Source organism: Homo sapiens, chromosome 10 (assembly GCF_000001405.40).
Source record: "Homo sapiens chromosome 10, GRCh38.p14 Primary Assembly".
NCBI classification, from domain to species: domain Eukaryota; kingdom Metazoa; phylum Chordata; class Mammalia; order Primates; family Hominidae; genus Homo; species Homo sapiens.
The window spans coordinates 16,834,619-16,858,059 of record NC_000010.11 but is presented as its reverse complement, the minus strand read 5'-3'; the positions used below and the strand labels follow the sequence as shown (position 1 = coordinate 16,858,059).

Sequence of the window (23,441 nt, the reverse complement as noted above, 5' to 3'; positions counted from 1 at the left end):
TATAAATGGTATTGTTTTTTAATTTTGGTCTCCACATGTTAATGGTTAGTATATTAAAATTTGATTGATTTTTGTGTATTGTTCCTTTATCCTGAGTTCTTGCTGAACTCATATGTTAGTTCTAAGAATGTTTTTCCATATTACTTGGGATTTTCTGCAGCTAATAGTTACTTGCAAAAGTGGAAATTTTATTTCTTCCTTTCCAGTCTCTCTATATATTTTTTCTTGCTTTATTCTGGCAAGAATTCTAATACTACGCTGAGTTAGAGGGGTGTGAAATCAATATCGTTGCCTTGTTCCTGATCTTAGGGAGAAAGCGTTTAGTATTTCACCATTAATTATGCTGTTAGCTGTAGGTTTTTGCAGATGGTTTTTATCAAGTCAAGAAATTTCTCCTCTATTCCTAGTTTGCCAAGAGTTTTTATCATGAATGTGTGTTGGATTTTGTCAAATCCTTTTTCAGCATCAACTGACATGATCATGTCATTTTGCTTAGTAAATTATTTTTTTAATTTCCAAGTTGGAAAGAATGATTCTCATAAAATGCCCTGGGGCTAATGATGTATGCATAGAGCATTTTCAGTGATATCTAAATAATGCAAGATAAATTAAAAGATAACGATAAAATTTTCCTTCTCCTAAGTTCTTTATACAAGTATTGCTCTTTTTCTATTAACTACAGCTACTGATTAGCTTGCTGAAATTACCTTTCTTTTAGTAAATTACCATTCTTTTAGTTTTATGATTCCTAAATATTACCAGACTAAATACACATTTTAATTTAGATTAAGCTGGGTTTCAAATTAGGATAACTAAAGTGAGTCAAATTAAGTGAAGCAACTAAAAACAAACAAAACAATAAAAAACCTCATTACAAAAACTACTAACTTTTTTCTTGTAAAACATAAATATTATACCTGAAGTATTGTACACATTGGAGATTAGGGAGTAAAATAATAAACACTGTTTACTTTTAGAGAAAAAGACAAAACAGGTTCGTCTGAAACCTAGTAGAATGTTTTTACATGAATACACTGCTTTGGAGCAATTGTGTATCTGCAGCTTTATAAATTACAGTAAGGCTGATTCCAAAAAAGGATAATGCATTTCTAGCCCTGCATCCCTGGGTGGTAGAAAGGAAGCTGTCTAGGTGTGCTCGAATTTCCCTAAGGCACCAGCTTTAAATGTCTTTGTATTCTGCTTCCTGTAGTTTCCAGTAAAGCTTCCTTCAGCTGCAGCCTAAAGCCACAGATGGCTTGCTGGAAACAGGAGAGGGCCTGAAGTCAAGCCAGTCTGTATCTGCTCGTACAGCACACTGTGCACCTTCTCAGTAGTGGTCAACCAGAGACAGGCAGAGATACTATCCAGACAACCTCAGGAAAATGTCAGCCGTATAGAATGTGAGCCACAAAAATGTCAATTCTCCAAATAATGATTTAAAAATGTATCTAACTCCACTGAAGCCTTCGAGATGTTTTATCCAAGAGAATGTAACTATTTTTTCCCTTATCAGATTGATCTTGGCTTAAGCTTCACTCTGAGGTTTAGTCATTGGAAGGTAATAATTCAGGATTCGGTTACCGATTTTTAATTAAGTAGATTTAGACCTGGATCTCACTCCTTATTATGGGGTTATATTTCCAATATTTCTTTAGCCAAAACATGTATTTTCTCTGAAGAAATGGCTCTTTTGTGTGAGAGAGATATTTCCAATTCAGGGAAGAAAGAGTGACGTTTGTTCTTGGACGCAGGGTGTGTCATCAGAGAGTGACTGACACACCTGATTGATGAGGCAGGTGCTGATGGATGAGAGCTGTCTAGGTGGCCCCAAAATGTGTAGTAATGAGGAAATGATGGATTGGTGATGCTAAACATATCAAGGTTAAGATGGCTTATACATTAAAAAATGCAATTTCAAAATATCAGTATGGTAAATATATATGACTTTCTGATGCGTGGGACTCTATTGCATAGTCACAGAGGTCGCCCTTGTTTATATTCCCCCACCATTGAAACACAGAAAGAGCAATGTGGCAATAGCTCCTTTTGGGAAAGAACCCTTCTTTTGTTAATATTGATCATTACGTTTTCTCAAAGACATATACACTTACATTTCATTTTGCATGGAGCAGTTTTGCTATATTTAAGCACTAAAGAGGGGGAATTAGAGCAATTGCTATTCCCTGCACTACACAAATAACTGTTCACTCATGTAATATGATATTCACTTCAAATATTTGATTATTTTGGCCAGGATTATCTCATGATATTTTTCTCCATGTTCTTTATTCTGTGTGTATATTTTGTGAATTGAACAATGAGCTCTATTATAGTTTGATAGCTCAAACAAGCTATTAATATTAGTTGTGTGTATTAGTCTGCTATTACCATGACAGTGCTACTTAACAAACCATCCAAAATTCAGTGTCTTATAATGAAAGCATTTGTTTTTATCACTTATGGGTCCACGGACTAGCTTGCCTGCCTCCGTTCCAAGCTGCGGGTTGGCTGTAGTTGGCTGTAAAGTTGAGTCTGGGTTCAAGTCTGCTCCACATGAATCCACTTTTTCTTTGAACCAGCAGTTACTCAGCACATGATATCTTAGTGGATCACAGGAGCACAAAGTCCTAGACAACAATAAAAACAAGAACAAAACGTAAGCACGTTTAAGGCCTCTGGCTGCTTCATGACCACTAACACTCATTCTAAAGCAAGTCGTAGGGCTAAGCCTAACATCAAGTGCACAGAAAAATATACTCTCCATTTTAGTGCAGTGCAAAGAGAGATACTGAAGAATTAAAAATCAGCCAGTTAAGCTGGGCATGGTGGCATGCACCTGTAATCCCAGCTATTCAAGAGGCTGAGGTGGAAGGATTTGCTTGACCCCAAGAATACGAGACCAGCCTGGGCATCATAGCAAGTCCTCATCTAGAAGAAAGGAAGGAAGGAAGGAAGGAAGGGAAGGAGGGAGGGAGGGGAGGGGAGGGGAGGAGAGAGGAGGGGAGGGGAGGGGAAGAGAGATAGAGAGAAAGAGAGAGAGAGAAAGAGAGAGAGAGAAAAAAGGAAAGGAAAGGAAGAAAAAAGAAGGAGTGAGGGAGGAAGAGAGGAAGGGAGGGAGGGAGGGAGGAAGGAAGGAAGGAAGGAAGGAAAGGAGGGAGGATGGATCAGCCAATTTACCACTCAATCCATGGCAAACACATCAGTGATTTAAGGATGCTTGTTCTGGGGTTCCCTGGAATGTGGGTGTGCTGCTTTATGGCATTAGTCATAGCAGTAGTACTACATAATAAGTGTGTGTAATGGCATTCACTGGGCCCAAGTACAATTGCCATCTTGCCCTTATGAACTTATTAGTAACAGTTAATAAACAAGTAGTGATAAATATAGCTTGAATGTTTAAAAATAACATTTAGTTTTTGAAGCTGATGATTAATAGAATAATGCCCAGCAACAGCATTTTCCTGTCTACCTACCTCCAACTCTTCAGTGCTCCTACCTGCAGCCCTCACCACAGCAATGTCCTTTCACCTGGTCTCATCTCCTTCAGTCTCGTTCCCTTGCATGTAAAATGCTGGTTCTGGATCAATTTTTAGATCAGACTTGATTAGCAAGTGCATCCTGATTCTACCACTTATTTGATTAAAAATCTTTCAACTGAATCCCATTAGCCAAAGAACACAGTCTGACAGCCAAACTCTGTATAATCCAGCATTGAAGGCCCTCTGTAGAAGACCCCATCCTGTTTTCCCAATCCTAATTCTCATTATTCTCCTTCATGTGCCCTATTCTTTTCTCAGAGTTATGCTTGCCCATGCATATAATGTAAATTCTTGCCCATTTAGCCTTGGATCAAGAGATTCTTTCAGGCTGGAATTGCCAATGCCAATTCCATTTCTACATGGTTTTATTCTATTTATGCTTCAAGACCCAGATCCAAATCACCTCCTCCTTGGAACAGTTGAGATCCTCATAGCCCAAAGTAATCTTCATCTTTTTGCAAAACTGTAAGACGTTTCTGCCTCTTTTACTGAACCTATCATTTTCTAAATTGCGTCATCATTATTTATCTATGTCTTACTACTAATGGACTATCACTTATCTTTTTCTACTTAAATACTAAATATACTTTCTTGAATATTGAAACAATATGTAATAAATAAATTTATCAATCCATTCATACCCTCAGTCATCGTTCTTCTGTGCTACGCATGCCAATAAGCTTAAGTGGTTTCCTTAAGTAACAGTCAGTTCACACTGGAATCAAAGCTGCTCAAACTCCACAAACTCCAACCCTCTCTTGAGTTTGCAGGCCCATTTCAGATTAGCAGAATCATTAGCAACATGTGGTGAAGCACTGCGTATTGCTTACGTTTCAGAATAATTTTGTCCTATATGACCTCTGTGAATATATCAGGGACTGGGCCTTTGGAAGCATTTCAACTTTGGGAAATGTCTGACTATGCAAATACTCTATAGTTTCGCCTGACTTAGAAGCTATGGACAGGCCAAGCCTGACCTACTAAGTAATGTGCCTGTAACAAAAATCACCCTGCACGTTTGCTATCTATCCATTGGATTTACAGACAGGGTTCAGGAGAGCCACCATTGTTCATGTTTACTGCCAAGGTCCAAGTACAAAATCTTAGCACCCCCTAATGTTGAAAGCAGTCTTTTCACCGTGAGCAGAAAATGGAATGAGAAAAATAGACTGAAGGCCAATCCCAGCGAAGTTTAACTTTGGAACTAGCCATGACCTATATTTGTGTAGAATACAAGCTTTATAGACATTAATTTCAGCACCAGTTTAATCCCTGTTCCTACTAGGGCTATTTTGAGCTTATTTCACCATTTCTTTCAAAATTGTCAATAAATTGTTCATCCCTTTATGCTCTTCTTAAATCATTTCTGAGCTGTCTGCTTAGGCCATGGAGTAGACAAAACTAAATCTTATGTTCTGAGGATTGTTTTTTTGTATTCTTTTATGGTAGACCGTTTAATCATCTTGAGATTATTCTTTATCTCTCCTTTGTATTTTTATTCTGAATTATAAAATTTTTATCTGAAAGAAGGCCTTTTTCTTCTATAAAGATTTTTTCCTTTAGCTTCTCATGTTTTGGAAAAGAAAAAGTTAAATATAGAGTGTGGCTGAATATAAACTGGACTGCAGTGTTAAATGCCTCTCAGCCTCTTTCTATCACACTGTGTAAATAAAAGATTTGTTGGCAGCAATTTTCTTGGTTTGTTGGGTAAATTCTTCATAAATTCAGTTTTCAGTCTGACAGTGTTCATGAAAGCGGAACATAAAAGTAAAACATATGCACATTTTCCACCAGCTTTATTATGCAAAGTACTTGATTTTGTATAAAACTGGATTTTTCAAGGCCAGGAAAATCTTCAATAAATCACATCAGCAATCCCAAAAACGTCTGTAGAACCCTATGTGTTTTCCCACTTCTTTCAGCAACTCCGTGAATAAGAAGGAGACACCTGAAGGCTCTGCTATGGAAGCAAAGAGCGAGGGAGGCAAAGATAGAGTGAGGAAGGGAAAGATAGACTGAGGGAGGCAAAGATAGAGTGAGGGAGGGAAAGATAGAGGGAGGGAGGGAGGGAAAGATAGAGGGAGGGATGGAAAGATAGAGTGAGGGAGGGAAAGATGGAGGGAGGGAAAGATAGAGTGAGGGAGGCAAAGATAGAGGGAGGGAGGGAAAGATAGAGGGAGGGAGGGAAAGATGGAGGGAGGGATGGAAAGATGGAGGGAGGGAAAGATAGAGTGAGGAAGGGAAAGATGGAGGGAGGGAGGGAAAGATAGAGGGAGGGATGGAAAGATGGAGGGAGGGAAAGATAGAGTGAGGAAGGGAAAGATAGAGGGAGGGAGGGAGGGAAAGATAGAGGGAGGGAGGGAAAGATAGAGTGAGGGAGGGAAAGATGGAGGGAGGGAAAGATGGAGGGAGGGAGGGAAAGATAGAGGGAGGGAGGGAAAGATGATGGAGGGAGGGAAAGATGGAGGGAGGGAAAGATAGAGGGAGGGAGGGAAAGATAGAGTGAGGGAGGCAAAGATAGAGGGAGGGAGGGAAAGATAGAGGGAGGGAGGGAAAGATTGAGGGAGGGAAAGATGGAGGGAGGGAAAGATAGAGGGAGGGAGGGAAAGATAGAGTCAGGGAGGGAAAGATGGAGGGAGGGAAAGATAGAGGGAGAGAGGGAAAGAGAGTGAGGGAGGGAAAGACAGAGTGAGGGAGGGAAATATAGAGGGAGGGAGGGAAAGATGGAGGGAGAGAGGGAAAGAGAGTGAGGGAGGGAAAGACAGAGTGAGGGAGGGAAAGATAGAGGGAGGGAGGGAAAGATGGAGGGAAGGAAAGATAGAGGGAGGGAGGGAAAGATAGAGTGAGGGAGGGAAAGATAGAGGGAGGGAAGGAGGGAGAGATGGGGCGGGTGGGGGGAAGGAAGAAAGAAAAGAAAAGAGGGAGGGAGGAAAGGAGGGAGCCCAGGAGGGAATGATCTGATCATGTTCTCAGAGTGTGACAGAAAATGGAAACTATGTTCTTTTTAAAAACCCTCCATGTACAATGTAAGGTCGGTTCTGTTTGGTCTGCATAGTGATGTCTTTGTTTTAATGCAGGGCCTCAGCAAGGATGTGGTGGTTATCTGACAGGCTCGAATAATACCTTTGCCTCTCCTGATTCTGATTCGAATGGAATGTATGACAAGAATTTAAACTGTGTATGGATCATAATTGCACCTGTAAACAAAGTAATTCACCTCACCTTCAATACATTTGCTCTGGAGGCAGCAAGTACTAGGCAAAGATGCCTTTATGATTATGTAAAGGTAAGGCTGTTTTATTTTTTTAACAGAGTCTATTCATCCCAGACTCTAATATAGTGTATTCCAGTTTATATCGTTACAGGAAGTCCTGCTAATTTTGAGTACAGGTGCTACTGCTTTTTAAAATGACCTTTTCTTCAGTGATGCTACATTTAATATTATAGATGCTCTATCTTCATATCAAATTAATCTTTAATATGGGTGACTCAAATATTTTGTGTGACTGGCTTCCAACATTAGCATTTAAATCTCCTATTCATCAATGTCTTGCAAAAGACGATCTATAGGAAGGTCGGTTTTCTGGAGAGAGATACTCAAAGGACCTTTGGCAAATCCTAAAATAAACAATGTCAGTGACACAAATAATCACCTCTTAATTTGTCTATTTCTTAGGCTTATAGATTTGCTTATCACATTATGTTTAGATATTAAAATGGTTCTGAAATCCCATTAAAAGTAAATAAAGGCTGGGCACTGTGGCTCATGCCTGTAATTCCAGCAATTTGGGACACCGAGGCAGGAGGATCACTTGAGGCCAGGAGTTTGAGACCAGCCTGGCCAACATGGTGAAACCCTGTTTCTACTAAAGACACAAAAAATTAGCCGGGTGTGGCGGCGGGCGCCTGTAGTCCCAGCTGCTCCAGAGGCTGAGGCAGGAGAATCGCTTGAACCCGGGAGGTGGAGGTTGCAGTGAGCTGAGATCTCGCCACTGCACTCTAGCCTGGGTAGCAGAGCAAGACTCCGTCTCAAAAATAAATAAATAAATAAAATAAAAAAGTAAATCAAGAAACTTCTGTTCAATTTTTAATGACTTTAATATTAAATTATTATACCTATCAGGTTATATAGGTTCAGATTACAAGTGTTAAGTAGCATCAATCAGTATTTACTACTGCACTCTCAGGGGAAAAATAAAAAGTATGGCAAGATTTGTATTTATGAGGAGCTTAAGTCTGATTAGAAAATTATGGGATGACACATGCAAATTAAGAATGCATAGTTCAGGATAGTCAGCATTTAAGCGCTAATGAATGCATTCGATGCAGGCTTGAAGCAATGTGCAAGCTTAGAAGGAAAGAAAGTTCATGAAACTCGTGTGATCAAGAATGACTTGATAGAGCGAGGGAAAACTTACTCAGGTCAGGAGAGAATTCAGGCAAGGTGAACATTTTCAAAAAGGCATAGGAATTGATACGTGCATGTTCTCGAAAGCGTAAAGAGGCTGGCTGTGTTGAAGCAGAATAGTGCTAAAGAGTAGCAAGAAATAAGATGGCCTACATAGAGAAATACCGAGATTACAAAGGATCCTGAAAGTCAAACTAATGACTTTAGACTCTGTGCGGGTGAAAATAAGGAGTGGTTGAAGGTTTTCCAATGAGTGAGGTGACAACAGCAGTAGCTAGGGAAGACTAACCTGAAATCAGCAGCTGTGGGAACTGGAAGGAGAGGAGGCTGGGAGGGCTCCAGAGAGAGGTCCCTCCTAGGTGAGAAGGTCAGTCTTAGACCTGGATCAGGGGTGCAGCCATGGCGGTGATGGCAAGAGGGGTGCAAGAGAAACTTAAGTTCTAGGATTGCAATAAACTTTAGAGAAAATAATTTTAAAAGAAAAGGAAGGAAAATTTGTGGAGGGAATACCCATTTGAGCACTTAGTTACATGCTTTTGTTTTTACTATGAAAGGGGCTAAGGTTGGGAGGCCAGAAAAATAACAGTGTGGTTTGGTGAGAGCAAGACAGACAAGTGAGACTGCAGTGGGCAGAGAATGGAACGGGGCTCCGGTGAGAAGACAGCTCCACGAATAGAGAGGACACAGCAAAGAGCCTTCCTTCCATCAGGAGAAAGGATGCTTTCTTAGAGGGAGTCAGCATAGATTTCAGAGAGTCAGGCTCTCAGCTCCAGGAAAAGTACCCAGGGAGGCAACTGGAGAAGGCAAAAGGCACAGGAAAAGAACAGACGCGTCATGAAAAGATAAATGTGAAGACCAGGAATAGTGTAGTATCCCTGAAGTCAAGGGGCAGGGGGATTCTTTTACAAAGCATGGGTGGTCAATACTATTGAATTGTAAAGTAGAGGCCAAGAAAGGGAAAGATGAAGAACAGCCTCATTGCACTGGATGACAACCATTTAAATAAAGTATTGGCACAGAAGCTGGATCAGAGGAGTTCATGAAAGACTAAAGATAGCAAGGAATGTCAATTCCAGTTTAATTCTCCTTTCCTAAAATGAGACCTGGCCGGCCGAGTGCGGTGACTCACGTCTGTAATCCCAGCACACTGGGAGGCAGAGGTAGGCAGATTGCTTGAGCTCAGAAGTTTGAGACAAGCCCTGGCAACATAGTGAGAACCCGTCTCTACAAAAAATACAAAACAATTATCTGGGTGTGGTGCTGTGCACCTACGGTACCAGCTTCTCGGGAGACTGAGGTGGAAGGATCCCCTGAACCCAGAAGGTATAAGCTGCAGTCAGTCGTGATTGCATCACTGCACACCAGCCTGGGCAACAGAGTGAGATACTTTCGCCAAAAAAAAAAAAAAAAAAAAAAAAAAAAGGCTGGGAGAGACCAAAATGACTAGAGCAGTCCTAAAGCTGAATTCAAAACTGTTTGAGAGCTCTCCTGGCTTTACAGAAAGGTAATAAGGTTTAGAGACGGAGAGTATGGGGACTCTAACCCAATTTTGCTGTCAGACAAATTTCCTAATCTCCCCGATTCCTCATCATTTCGTCAATTTTTCTTTAAATCACATAATAGTACCTACTGTGAAAGGCAGTTTTGAGGATTGAAATTATGTGTACTAGAGCGTTTAGCACTGTGCCTGACATAAATTGTAAACAAATTTACCTCCCTTTTTTTCCCCGTTGGAGTAATTCCAAATAGGCATGGGCACTATGGAATTTCTTTTTCTTAAAAACTAAAAATAATGGATTTGCATATAAAATTACAATTTTAAATTCTTATAGAATGATTTGAGTATGGCCCTGCTAGGAGAGTTGACTGGATTTACTCTCAAGATCCATTTTTATGGAGTGTGATTTGATAATGTCATCAAAACAGCCTGTCATTGTCTGAATTTCCGCAATTCATTCAGGCCAGAAACTGCAATATCAAAAACAAGGAGTTATTTTCTTGCTTCAAAATAAAATATCGTTTTTTTCAAATAAATTCTGTTCAGAACTATTCTTGTTTTCCCCCTTGGAAAAGCAATTTCCTTCCATTGGCAACGTTTCCAACTACCACTAAACTGGCAGATCAAAGAATAGCCCTTGGAATGTGGAGCTTGGAGCTTTCTTTATTAAAGAGATTTTTCTGTGATAAATGGGACGGTTGATTCCTTTTAGATTTTTTTTTAGAGATTATAATCAAATCACTTTTTAGAAAAGCTAATTTAACTGAACTCTGTGGTAGATACACAAGTAAAATCATACCAATTCCATTATTCATTCATAATTCTATCATGATCGTTTGTGAAAGGGTTGACTTGGAGAGTAATTACGGTAACTGAATCACGTAGTGAATTGTGCATGTCACTGAGCAGTCTCTTTTGAAATCCACATCGCATCCATTGCAGGAGTTAGTTGGCAAGGGTATGTGCCAGGCCCTGTACCAGCATCACTGGAGATGTAGAGAGTTAAAGACATCTCTTGAAGAGTTCAAGCTTCTTGAGGAGCTGCTAGTAAAGTGTAGGAGACTGACATGTAAACAAAAAACATACATTTAAATAATTACATTTAAAGTACAAATAAAATACATTTTTTTTTTTAGTTGGAGTCTTGCTGTTTTGCCCAGGCTGGACTGCAGTGGTGCTGTCTTGCCCAGGCTGGACTGCAGTGGTGCTATCTCGGCTCACTGCAGGCTCTGTCTCCCGGGTTCACGCCATTCTCCTGCCTCAGCCTCCTGAGTAGCTGGGACTACAGGCGCCCGCCACCACACCCAGCTAATTTTTTGTATTTTTAGTAGAGATGAAGTTTCACTGTGTTAGCCAAGATGGTCTCGATGTCCTGACCTTGGGATCCGCCCGCCTCGGCCTCCCAAAGTGCTGGGATTACAGGCATGAGCCACCACGCCCGGCCAAACACATTTAAATAACGGACATTTTTTTCACATTGTATAACGTGTTGCATAACATGACAAAAATCATAAATAGAAACAACATAGAAGGGCAGAGCAGAAGAGGCTCTGATTGGCTTTGTTTTGGCTAGGAAAGGCTTTCTAGAGGGTGATGGCTGAGCTGGAATTTACAAAATGAACAGAAACTCACTCCCTTTTGTTATCCTTTACGAAACTGAGAGGAGCATGAACCTAGCTGACTTTTTCTGCCAGGAAGTATGGAACCAGCAGAGAGAGGTCCTCATCCTAACATTGCCCAGTTTTTCCTCAACCCCATCCGTGCCCCTTTTCTTTTTCTTTTTCTTTTCTTTTTTTTTTTTTGAGACAGAGTTTCTATCTTGTCACCCAGGCTCGAGTGCAATGGTGTGATATTGGCTTACTGCAACCTCTGCCTCCCGAATTCAAGTGATTCTCCTGCCTCGGCCTCCCAAGTTGCTGGGATTACAGACATGCACCACCATGCCCAGCTAATTTTTGTATTTTTAGTAGAGACGGGGTTTCACCATGTTGGCCAGGCTTGTCTCGAACTCCTGACCTTAGGTGATCCACCTACCTTGGCCTCCCAAAGTGCTGGGATTACAGGTGTCACTGCCCCTTTTCATAGCCAATATTTTGTAATCCTTCCTTTCCCACCTGAAGTGAATGTCATCTATGCTATAACCTACCCATAATGTAATTTCAGAAAATCACTGTACTATCCCAAAGGCAATGAAAAGGAGAAATAAAAGGAAAGTATATAAAATAGTGTGTCTTCGTATATGTAAATACTCTAACACTGCTACACAAAGTCACATAATAAAATAGATTCCTTTTATATGTAGAATGGTGGTGAATAAAAAGTATAAATGTAAACAAATACGGGTGGGTTATATTTGCAACCCGCATGCCAATAGCAGCATCACCATCTGCAAGATAAGTTTCCAGAATGGTGGAAAAACTCAAAACAAACATTTCTAAACCAAACAAAGTACAGTCTTCCCTCAGCTTACACAATAATTGCATTTCTGGAAATTTGGTGCATATCAAAACTGTGCAAAAATATTTTTGTGTTTATATATAAAATGGACTTAGGTTCTGGGATCAAATAATTATAAACAAGTTTTTTTTTACACAAATGTCTGACAGGACATTCAAAAGTTATGTGGGACAAAAATCTTCACTTTGCAAAACTGTCCTGTGAATTACTAAATGCCAGTTATAGGCCCAAATTATAGTGATGACCCAAAAACCACCACACTTGTGCAAAACACTCCCTATGGGGTGGTATTGACCTCATTGAGAAGGTCTGACTTAATGCACCGGGCTTAACCATTCAGTCTGTGTCAGACACTGGAGCTGAGGAGGGGCTGTCCATCTTTGGGGAGAGGATCAGCAGTCTATGGAAGGCATCACGTTCCTATCCACATGAGGTCGTACCTACTATTCATTCATTCTTTCATTCAGTTCAGTGTTAATTAGCATACCTACTATATTCTAGACATTGCTGCAAGAACTAGAGAAGAACATTGAGATTTTAGAAAACAATACTAGGAAAACTCCTGCTCTTGTAGAGCTGATTCTAATCATTGCTTCTTTGTGGCTTTTTCCCAGACATCTGGGACTAGTATAACTTTTTTCTCCAGAAGATTCTGAAATGGGTCAGAGTTTAGCCCCAAACTGGAAAAGTCACTCTCTATTCTTCTTCCCATACTAAATTATGCCCTGGCATGTTGCCCAGCAGACCTCATCAGAGGTTCTGCAATAAGATCAAAGAATTCATGAAGATACTCTAAGATTCTGCTCCCAGTAAGAATATCAAAATCCTCTTGTGATCAAATTCCCAGGAAAATATTAAAAGATAAAGTCCTAAGGATATTAATGTATGAAATTATTACCTTTGAAAAGAATTGTAGTCCAATATCAAAGTCTATTGCCCTTGTGCATTAAAAGTTCATAGAAATTAAAATCCAAAAATTTTCTTTCCCAGTTTTTCTAACTGCTCAAGTCAATAGCTGGGTGAAATGTGGGATTTTGCCGTGGTTGTAGCAGAGCCTGCCTGCCACTAAGTTATTTGTACAATGCCTTCAGGATCTTTAGCAGATTCTAAAATGATCAGATTTCTAAAAGTTGAGAAAATATAACATTCTTCTCAGCACTTACCCACATCCACAAGACTTAGAACGTAATTCAAGCTCCAGGTCCATCGCAGTTGTGCCAGGAAATGTTTGCTCCCAGAATGTGGCCCGTAGCTGCGTATAATGGTGTAGATCCTAAAGGCACCATTTATATCCCAGTTTATATATGATTCCCCCTCCTCATCATTGGATAGGGCGTCCCCTGCAACGCATTGTAGGGCAACCTGGCAAAAGTCTGTAGTGAAGGTTTAGTGTTATCAGAGAACAAGAGAGCAGATAGAGATCTTGGGTTTGAGGCAGAGGAGTTTAGAGCCTCCTATGTCAGTTATCCCGAGGCCACAAGCTATTTCAACTCACTTAGGAGAAATCTTACTGTGGCAATGAATGAACTAACACAAGACCAGCTTGGGGCCAGGTATGTATGTCATTTCCTTCCATCCAGCCCTGGCTTCTGCCTCCTACCTTCCTTCACATTTACCAGTTATCCATTTAAAACCCAAATCTGATCTTACATCACGTAGGATCAGATCCAGACTCCTTGGATGAAATGTATGGAACTTCACAGCTTTGTTTGTTGGACTTCGTCATTTCTCCTGTTCTCTCACCCTGGCCTCCAGGGCCAATGAAGGGGGTCAGAAGTTGTTGACACGTGCCATGCATTTCACACTTCCATGGCCTGGCATTTATTACTGTCTGGCTGGGATACCCTTCCTGTTTTGTAGGTCTGGAAGGTCTTTTTTTTTTTTTTTGGGGACAGAGTTTCGCTCTTGTCGCCCAGGCTGGAATGCAGTGGTGCGATCTTGGCTCACTGCAACCTCTGCCTCCCGGGTTCAAGCAATTCTCCTGCCTCAGCCTCCCAAGTAGCTGGGATTACAGGCCTGCGCCACCACATCTGGCTAATTTCGTATTTTTAATAGAGATGGGGTTTCTCCATTTTGGTCAGGCTGGTCTCGAACTCCTGACCTCAGGCGATCCGCCTGCCTCGGCCTCCCAAAGTGCTGGGATTACAGGAATGAGCCACCACGCCCCGCAGGTCTGGAAGGTCTCTACTTACATTTAAGGGCCAACCCAAATGTCTGTCTCCATCACGTGGGTTCTCATGATACACTCCCATTATTTTATTGTAGCACTTATTTTTCTCTATTTTGTATATAATTTATATACACATATATTTATGTGTATGCATAGTGTATGTGCATATTACACAAATATATGTATTTGTATATTTAATTTGTAGACCTTTACTCTCCTTTGTTCATGAAGGGGTCTTATGTCTTGAAGATCTGGAAAGGGCTTTACATGTCCTTGTATGCCTGGGATCTAGCACAGAGGCCTGGCATACAGGTCCCAGAATAAAAATGCTTGCTAATATAAATGTGATCATAAAGACAGCAATGATTATCATGAAATTTTAACTTGTTTACCAGAAAAAGTGCATGACCTAAAACTTGGCAAATGTGCTCTTCCATGAAACAAAGGGGTGAAGATTAGAAAACTCGAGTTTCATCTGATTCTGAATTAACTAAAATCATGTTTAAGTTGGAAAGACAGTGCCATCTAGTGGTGCATTTCTTTTTCTTTTACAATGACTGGTTTTAGTCATTCCTGTCTTACATAATCCTAGCACTTTAGAATAATGTCAGTGGTCATGGTCATGGCTGTTCTGAGGCCTTGAACACATAGCTCTGTTATGAATTGAATATTTGGAGTTAGATACACACAGACACTCATTTTAGAAGTACAATGGAGATTACTCAGAAGAAAACATTTTCTAGTTATGTGTTTCAGGGAAATCCAAGCACCCACTATTTCGATGGATGTTTCTAGAAGGGAGCCATGGTTGGGAATTGTTCTGGGTGCTGGCGACACCACAGTGAAGAAGTCAGACAGAGTCTCTGTCTCCCCACACGTGGGACTTACATCCTTGTTGGGAAAGAGACCGGACAAAGTAAATAAACAATAAATAAGATCAGTTTTGATTATAATAGGAAAATAAAACAGGATGATGCTATGGGAGGGCAACATTCAATAGCATTGGCTTCTCTGAGGAGGTGACATGTCAGGTGAGGGCCCATGACAGGGAGTCCTTAGCTGTGTGGGTTCAGCTTCACCTGAGGAAGGAAGAGCAGCAGGAACAGGGCTGTGGACAGGAGTCCTCCTGGGATGAAGGAAGTGCAGCTAGCAGTGAGGTGTGGGCAGCCTGGGAAGGAGGCACAGGCCAGAGCAGCTGGGGCTTGCAGACTGTGGGAGGGAGCTGGAATTTTACTTTAGGTGCAATGGGGATCTGCCGAAGCATTTTAGACAGAGCAGGAGCATCACCTCATTGGAGTTTGCAGACATGCAGGCAGTTCAGTGGAGAACACTATGGCTGCTCCGGAATTAGGCCTATTAAGAAGATGTTTCAGTGGGAACAGGTGAAGGACGATGGAGATCACCTGGAGATGGAGCCCTCTGGGATATATTTTGAAGGTAGATTGGAGTAGTTGTGGAGTGAAGAGAGAGAGAGAGGAATCAGAGATGACTAAAGTTGTAGGCTTGAAACATTGAGGTAAAGATGGCTCTGGGAGAACAGTTTTGGGAGGGCTAGTGGGACAGAGGAATCAAAGCACTTGTTTATTTATTTATTAGATATTTATTGAGAGCCTCTCACGTGCAGACACTTTTCTAAAAACTGGGAACATGGCAGTGAGCAGAAAAGAAATCTGTACATTCATGGAACTTGTATTGTCTTCAGAGAGAAAGCCAATGAAATAAGCAAGTTTAGCCTGGACAACATAGGAAGACCCCATCTCTAAAAATTTTTTTTAATTAGCTAGGCATGGTGGCATGCACCTGTAGTCCCAGGTACTTGGGAGGCTGAGGTGGGAGGATCACTTGAGCCCAGAAGTTCAAGGTTGCAGTGAGCTATGATTGCAGCACTGCACTCCAGCCTGGGCAACAGCGTGAGACCTTATTTCAAAAAAAAAAAAAGCTAAATATGTAGTATATAGAAGAAGGTAACAGTTGCTGTGGAGAAAAATCAAGCAGGAAAGGAGATGGGAATGTTGGGAGAGTTTACATCTGGAAGGCCTTATTGAGTTGGGGATATCTTTTTTTTTTTTTTTTTTTTGAGACAGTCTTGCACTGTCACCCAGGCTGGAGTGTAGTGGCACCATCTCAGCTCACTGTAACCTCCACCTCCTAGATTCAAGTTATTCTCCTGCCTCAGCCTCCCAAGTATATGGGATTACAGGGGTGTACCACCACGCCCGGCCGAGTTGGGGATATGTGAGTAAAGACCTGAAGAAATGCACGAGGACAAACTATGTGGATATACAGGGAAGAGCATTCCAGGCAAAGTGAACAGCAAATGCCATACCCAAGAAGCAGCAACACACCTGGTTTGGCTCAAGAAGCGGAATCGAACAAAGTGAAGACAATAAGAAATTAGATTAGAAAGGTCAGGGGTGGGAGAGGAGAGAAAGCCATTGTGATGCCTTTGGCTGTTTGATTGAGTGGATGGGAAGCAGTTAGGAGGATTTCAGCAGAGCAGTGACATGGTGTGACTTACATTTTAACAGTATCCTCTCGATGACATTTTGAGGATACACTAAAGAGGAACACGAGCAGAATCAGGGGCTTCATGGGAGGCTGCAGTGATCATCTAGGCAAGAGATCAGAGCAGTTGGGGCCATAGTGTGAGTCGGTGCAGAGGTTAAAGTAGCAGTGGGTGAGCGGACTCTCATAACACCTTCTTTTAAAAATCATATATTTCCCAAAGAGGAAAAAAATGTTAGGCGTCATAACAGGTTTTTCCTGAAAGTCATAATATAATCAATCCAATTATAATTCTGTTCCTAAATTAAGACTACCTCTAAGAAAATCAATGTAAAAATGTTTACCGTGACCTATTGCAACTTCGCGTCCAATTTAGTGTGAAATATGCAATTTTTTGTAAGTAATGGAGAAGTAATGAATTGTTTTTCTTCTCAGTTATATGATGGGGATAGTGAAAATGCGAACTTGGCTGGAACGTTTTGTGGTTCCACAGTACCTGCTCCTTTTATCTCTTCTGGTAACTTCCTTACGGTTCAATTCATCAGTGACTTAACATTAGAGAGGGAAGGATTTAATGCTACATACACCATCATGGACAGTGAGTAAATAGAAGCATTTTTATATGTTATGAAATACACATGTATTTATGCACTGAAAAGAATGCCCTGCTTATTATATCGAAATTTCAATGTTAATTACTAAACTCAATGTCAATTACTATCTAAACTCAATGTCAATTGCTAAACACCATGTTAATTACTGTATGTTTAATCTGTGGTACAAATTTGATACAATCTTTAGTCAAGGATATAAACCCTGAATTCTTAATAGAGTAATGAAAATATAGCTCCTCCGGGGTGGGAGGCAGGGAAGACAGAATTGCAAAGATTGCCTGAGATGAGACATGAATAAAATGTCTCCTGTGTTGCTTTTTCCTCCCTCTCCAGTGCCTTGTGGTGGAACATACAATGCAACTTGGACCCCACAAAATATTTCATCACCCAATTCATCAGACCCAGATGTCCCATTTTCCATCTGTACTTGGGTCATTGATTCCCCTCCGCATCAGCAGGTCAAGATAACTGTGTGGGCATTACAGCTGACCTCGCAAGACTGCACGCAGAATTACTTACAGCTTCAGGACTCACCGCAGGTAACAATTATAAGATGAATGGCAGTCACATCTAGTGACCTTTTCACCAGTATTTGCAAAACACTTGAAGTAATGAAGCCATGATGAAATAATTTTCTTTTTTTTAATTATACTTTAAGTTTTAGGGTACATGCGCACAATGTGCAAGTTTGTTACATATGTATACATGTGCCATGTTGGTGTGCTGCACCCATTAACTCGTCATTTAACATTAGGTATATCTCCTAATGCTATCCCTCCCCCCTCCCCTCTTCCCCCACCCCACAACAGGCCCCGGTGTGTGATGTTCCCCTTCCTGTGTCCATGTGTTCCGATTGTTCAATTCCCACCTATGAGTGAGAATATGCGGTGTTTGGTTTTTTGTCCTTGCGATAGTTTGCTGAGAATGATGGTTTCTAGCTTCATCCATGTCCCTACAAAGGACATGACCTCATCATTTTTTATGGCTGCATAGTATTCCATGGTGTGTATGTGCCACATTTTCTTAATCCGGTCTATCATTGTTGGACATTTGGGATGGTTCCAAGTCTTTGCTATTGTGAATAGTGCCGCAATAAACATACGTGTGCATGTGTCTTTATAGCAGCATGATTTATAATCCTTTGGGTATATACCCAGTAATGGGATGGCTGGATCAAATGGTATTTCTAGTTCTAGATCCCTAAGGAATCACCACACTGACTTCCACAATGGTTGAACTAGTTTACAGTTCCACCAACAGTGTCAAAGCGTTCCTATTTCTCCACATCCTCTCCAGCACCTGTTGTTTCCTGACTTTTTAACAATCACCATTCTAACTGGTGTGAGATGGTATCTCATTGTGGTTTTGATTTGCATTTCTCTGATGGCTAGTGATGATGAGCATTTTTTCATGTGTCTTTTGGCTGCATAAATGTCTTCTTTTGAGAAGTGTCTGTTCATATCCTTCGCCCACTTTTTGATGGAGTGGTTTGTTTCATGATGAAATAATTTTCTAAGTTACTTCCAGCTTAATGTGTTTTTCATCCATACACAAAGCCCTCCAATCAGGTGTGTCGAGAAACTTGAACTTGGTCCTGCAGGTCCAGAGCTCTCAAAGCTTCATGTGCCTAAGAATGCATTAAGATGCATCTTAAAAGTGCATCCTCCCTGGCCCACCCTCAGAGACCGAATCCCCCATATAACACCCATTTATCTGAATTTTTGACAAACACCTCTGGTGTTTTGGTGCCAGTACCAGAACTCCATGGACCATGCTTGGAGAAATACCTCTAGTTAGTGGGATTTATGTATAGGTTGAATTGAAAGGGTCAGTACAGAACACAAGAGAATCAGTGAAGAGGCTGTTTGGCACTAGTCTGATAGGTTTATATTCATGGTAATATAAGAGAGATAAAAAGAAAAGGGCTGGGTGTGGTGGCTCATGCTTATAATCCCAGCACTTTGGGAGGCCAAGGCTGGTGGATTACCTGAGGTCAGGAGTTCAAGATCAGCCTGGCCAGTGTGGTGAAACCCTGCCTCTACTGAAAATACAAAAAATTAGCTGGGTGCAGTGGTGTGCGCTTGTAATCCCAGCTACTCAGGAGGCTGAGGTAGGAGAATCGCTTGAACCTGGGAAGCAGAGGTTGCAGTGAGCCAAGATCGCGCCACTGCACTCCAGCCTGGGTGACAGAGTGAGACTTCGTCTCAACAACAACAACAACAAAATCCATTTTGAGCTTTAAAAAAGGCTGAGTCTGAATTTCCTCTGGAATAAGATGTTGAGGAGACAGTTGGACACAAAGTGGGTTGTTGACCAAAGGCCCAAAGATTTTTGTGCATCATCATTATCATGATAGGTAATTGAAAAATGAGAAGAATGAGATTATCTGGGGAAAATATGCAAAGGGATTGGCCACGAACTGAGGATGGATACCAGGAGAACATCTGAGAATACCTGGATTGTCTTTCTGCAGTTTGGGGAGCAACTAACCCTCCCCAGTTCATTCCAGTAAAATGTCATGGTCAAAGCCCCATATGCTGGACTAGTAGAGTATCTGTTGTCTTCTGAGTTTTCAGGGTCCCCTTCATTATAAATCTGGGGTCCCCTGCTTCTCATGTGGTCTTGCTGGGGAAAGAAAAGTCCAGGTTGTGTGACTCCAGAGTGGAGAGGCGTGAGATGTGCTGGCAGCTGAATAGACCCTGGACTTGCTGAGTTTGGTGCAAAGCATATATGCTGAGATGAGCTCCCAAGGTGGACAAGATGCTAGATTATCGTCATTCCATTGGTAATGGTTTTCAGGACAAAATCTCTATTACCCATTGGTACCCTAGAGGACTTACAGCCAAGTGGAACAGGCCCTTTGGGTGAAAGCTCTCTCAATTTTCCCTGGCTTCACGAAGCTAAGACAATGGGGATCAGGGTGGACCACTCAGCGGGGCACAGAATGGCACTTTCAGGGCACGAGACACCGTCTGAAACATAACAGCAGCTGGAGCAGCCTCGAGTAAGACCCAGTGTTTGTCATGACTGAATAATGTTTTCCACTGAATGAATACAGGAAACAATCAAGGGTTTCGGACTGGGTAGGTAGGGAGGAAAGACAAACATTGACGGATGAGCTGGGAGAAACTGGGATTCTCGGGGTATCCAAGAGTAGACAGAGCAGCCCTAATTGGCAGATCATGAAGGAATGATGTGTAGGGTGGTTACGGAGGATGTTCAGTGGTTAGCTGGCACTGGAGATGAACAGAGATGCAGAGATAGAAGGCCCTAAGGTTAAGAAATATGAAGTTGAGGGTGTTTAATGGCTTGTCTATAAAAACACAGAAACCTCTAAAGGGTTCAGAAAGGAAATCAGGGGCAGGAGATGACTATGAGCTGAGACACCTCAAGTCTTTCATAAATGAAGGGAAGTAACTGGGAGAAAAGTAAATGAGAGTGACGATAATGGTAAGAATATCTTTGGCCAGATGTAGAGACCGTCGAAGGAGAACCAGCTTTGAGACGAGGATGGAAGCTGCAGTGAGGAATGTGGAGCCTCCCTCCCTTCCCCCGAGGCTGGCCCCCCACCCTTCCCACTCAATGAACTGTGGAGCATGGGTAAAGAACAGCCTCTACCAGGAGGCTGCTGGAGAACCAGGTTTTGCTAAGGCCACAAAGTGGAAAGGTGGGGGATGTATACCGAGAATGACTGACAGTGCAGTTAAAGTTCACAGGATACAGCAAAGTTAGACAAGGACCAAGAGCAGGAGACAGTGGGGAAGAGGGGTGGAAGCCCCGAGCAGTTACAGGAGTTTTGCAAGCAGAGACGGGTGGGGTGTTTCAGTAGGTTCCTAAGAACTGCAGATATTAGAGACATTCCTGTGACAGGGAGGCTGCAAATACCCTGACTTTGGTACAACTTGTTTTTACCCAAGAACTGATGGGCATTCGACTGCATTTACTCCAGGCTTTTGAGAGGTGATGAGGGCTGCCCTAGTGTTACAAAGGGGAACCGGTACCTCATGACAGGCCCCGGCTGGCTTGGGGGATGTACAGTGGAACCAAAGGCTCTGATTAGATTTGCTAAGGGGTAGCAAGGGCTGGATCAGGGTGATGGTGGTTGTTAGTCCCATGGAGCTCAGGACAATGGCAAAAGCCCCAGGAGGAGAGATCCAGTGAGCTCTCAAACAGCCTAGATCCTCAGAGCAATGGCACAGGCCTCAGCTAGGAAGTTGCATAAAAGGCGAGGGATCTTATTTTCAGCAGGGAAATGTCTGTGGTTTCAGCAGAAGCTTTGCCTCCCTTCCTCCTGCCCCTCTGGGAAGGTGCAACTTGCATCAATTCCAAGGCCAACGTGAGTCTTCTTGCAGAGCACTTCCAACAGCAGAGCTGGTTTCCATGGCTAAATATTTACACCATGCTTTTATATGCAGTCTAATTTCTGTTATGGCCTGTTCTCTTCTAAGACTAAATCTAACATGATTTGGCTCCCATTTCATTTCAGGGTCACGGAAATTCAAGATTTCAGTTCTGTGGCAGAAATGCTTCGGCTGTGCCAGTGTTTTATTCTTCTATGAGTACTGCAATGGTCATTTTCAAATCTGGAGTTGTAAACAGAAACTCTAGAATGAGTTTCACCTATCAGATTGCAGGTGAGGCCAGGAACTTCATCTTTTATTCAAAAAAGCTGCCATCATTACCATTATTCGTAGAATAATTACAATTATTTCTAGAATTGACTCCTGTGAGTAAATTAGGATTTGTTAACAAAAACCACATCCCTCTCTTAACTAGAACCCAGCCCAATTTAGCAAATTACTACAGTTGGTTTCTAAAGAGATAAAGAGAATATAATACTATCCAGGATGGTTAGAATGCTAGCATTTTCTTCAAAGTATATGTAGTTGATTTTAAAAATATGCCAATTATCTTATTAATTATACACTTAACCACATTGAATATACATTTTTATTTACAAGAAATATATATGTTTATTTACAAAAGCTTTATCAAAATATAATTCTCATATCATACAATTTACCCATTTAAAGTTTATATTTCAGAGGTTTTTAGTATTTTCACAAAATTGAAAATCTTAGAAAATTATTTTGTAAAAATCAAAAAGCCTTGAAAGAGTTACCTGATTATTATAAGAAGTTTATTTTCACAGAACACTTTATTTAGTACTTATTTTGAATTGACTCAAATGAAAGCTTCCTTTGGTTAAAACAAACGAAAGTACTTTTGGTATTTTTTTACCAAAAAAAAAAAAAAGGTAAATAACGATTTGCCACAAATAACTCAACAATGGATTTAAAATCCTTGTGCAAAACTCTGTCTTGGAGGTAGCATCCTTGTCGAAAAGAGAGTCTGAATGCTACTTCCACCTCAACGTGATCAGAAAAGTTCAAAGGATGCTCGAGTATTCGTCTTTAAAGGAGAAGCCTCCTGTGTCATGCTTCCTGTAGGCGTGTTTGTGTGAACGAGCTGTTGCATTGCACCTGTGTGTGCTGCTTGAGCAATTCACTTCACTGCTCAGGGTCTCAATTATCTCAAAGGTAAACGAAGAAGCTGGATTACTTTTTTCTAAAGTTTATCAAATGCAATGATCTTTTTGAATGATTCCTGTGAAGTTGAAAGAGCACTAAATATTGGAATGCGTACATTAATTATGCCTATTTTTCCTCTAAGATTGCAACAGAGACTATCACAAGGCATTTGGCAACCTGAGAAGCCCTGGATGGCCAGATAACTACGACAATGACAAGGATTGCACCGTTACTCTCACAGCCCCCCAGAACCACACCATTTCCCTCTTTTTTCATTCACTTGGCATCGAGAACTCAGTTGAATGCAGAAACGATTTCTTGGAGGTGATATGCATTTGAATATCGTTTGAATGAATTATTTAAAAGATGGTGGATCACTTAAGATTTTACACCTTTTATCTAGTGCTGCTAATATTATATGATTCTTATTTGTTTCATTAATTTATTCATTACCCTTTCATTCCCTAAACATCTACAGAGCACCAGTCCAAACACCGGAAATTGGGAACCTTAGGGCCCGCAGGAGACTCCTAGTCTGGCAGGAAGGACAGATGGGGTATAGCCAATTACAGCACAATGTGGAAAGGACTAACTGAGTCCAGCATGGGTTGGGGTTCCTAACTCAGTCTGGGAACTAGAAGGCTCAAGAGGGCAATATGTAAGTTGAGACCTAAAAGGATCAGAGGGAAGTCTAAGGACAACATGCTGGTTCTGTAAAA

General features: G+C 41.3%; 1 protein-coding gene across 4 annotated transcripts in view, besides 1 other annotated feature; it reads left to right on the top strand.

The window, feature by feature from the left end:
- CUBN (cubilin) overlaps positions 1–23,441 on the top strand; it is a 305,846-nt gene that overhangs the window by 271,752 nt on the left and 10,653 nt on the right. For all 4 annotated transcript variants that reach the window (NM_001081.4, XM_011519710.3, XM_011519709.3 and 1 more), the window contains 5 exons: positions 6,617–6,825; positions 17,013–17,175; positions 17,525–17,730; positions 21,678–21,825; positions 22,865–23,046. In NM_001081.4, the coding sequence (NP_001072.2) occupies positions 6,617–6,825; positions 17,013–17,175; positions 17,525–17,730; positions 21,678–21,825; positions 22,865–23,046 (908 nt within the window). The remainder of the gene's footprint in view (positions 1–6,616; positions 6,826–17,012; positions 17,176–17,524; positions 17,731–21,677; positions 21,826–22,864; positions 23,047–23,441) is intronic.
- Positions 1,614–1,814: a silencer, noted in NCBI's record as "peak881 fragment used in MPRA reporter construct". NCBI's record gives its function as "represses an SCP1 promoter by STARR-seq MPRAs in K562 erythroleukemia cells {active_cell/tissue: K562}" and the evidence as "EXISTENCE:reporter gene assay evidence [ECO:0000049][PMID:32103011]".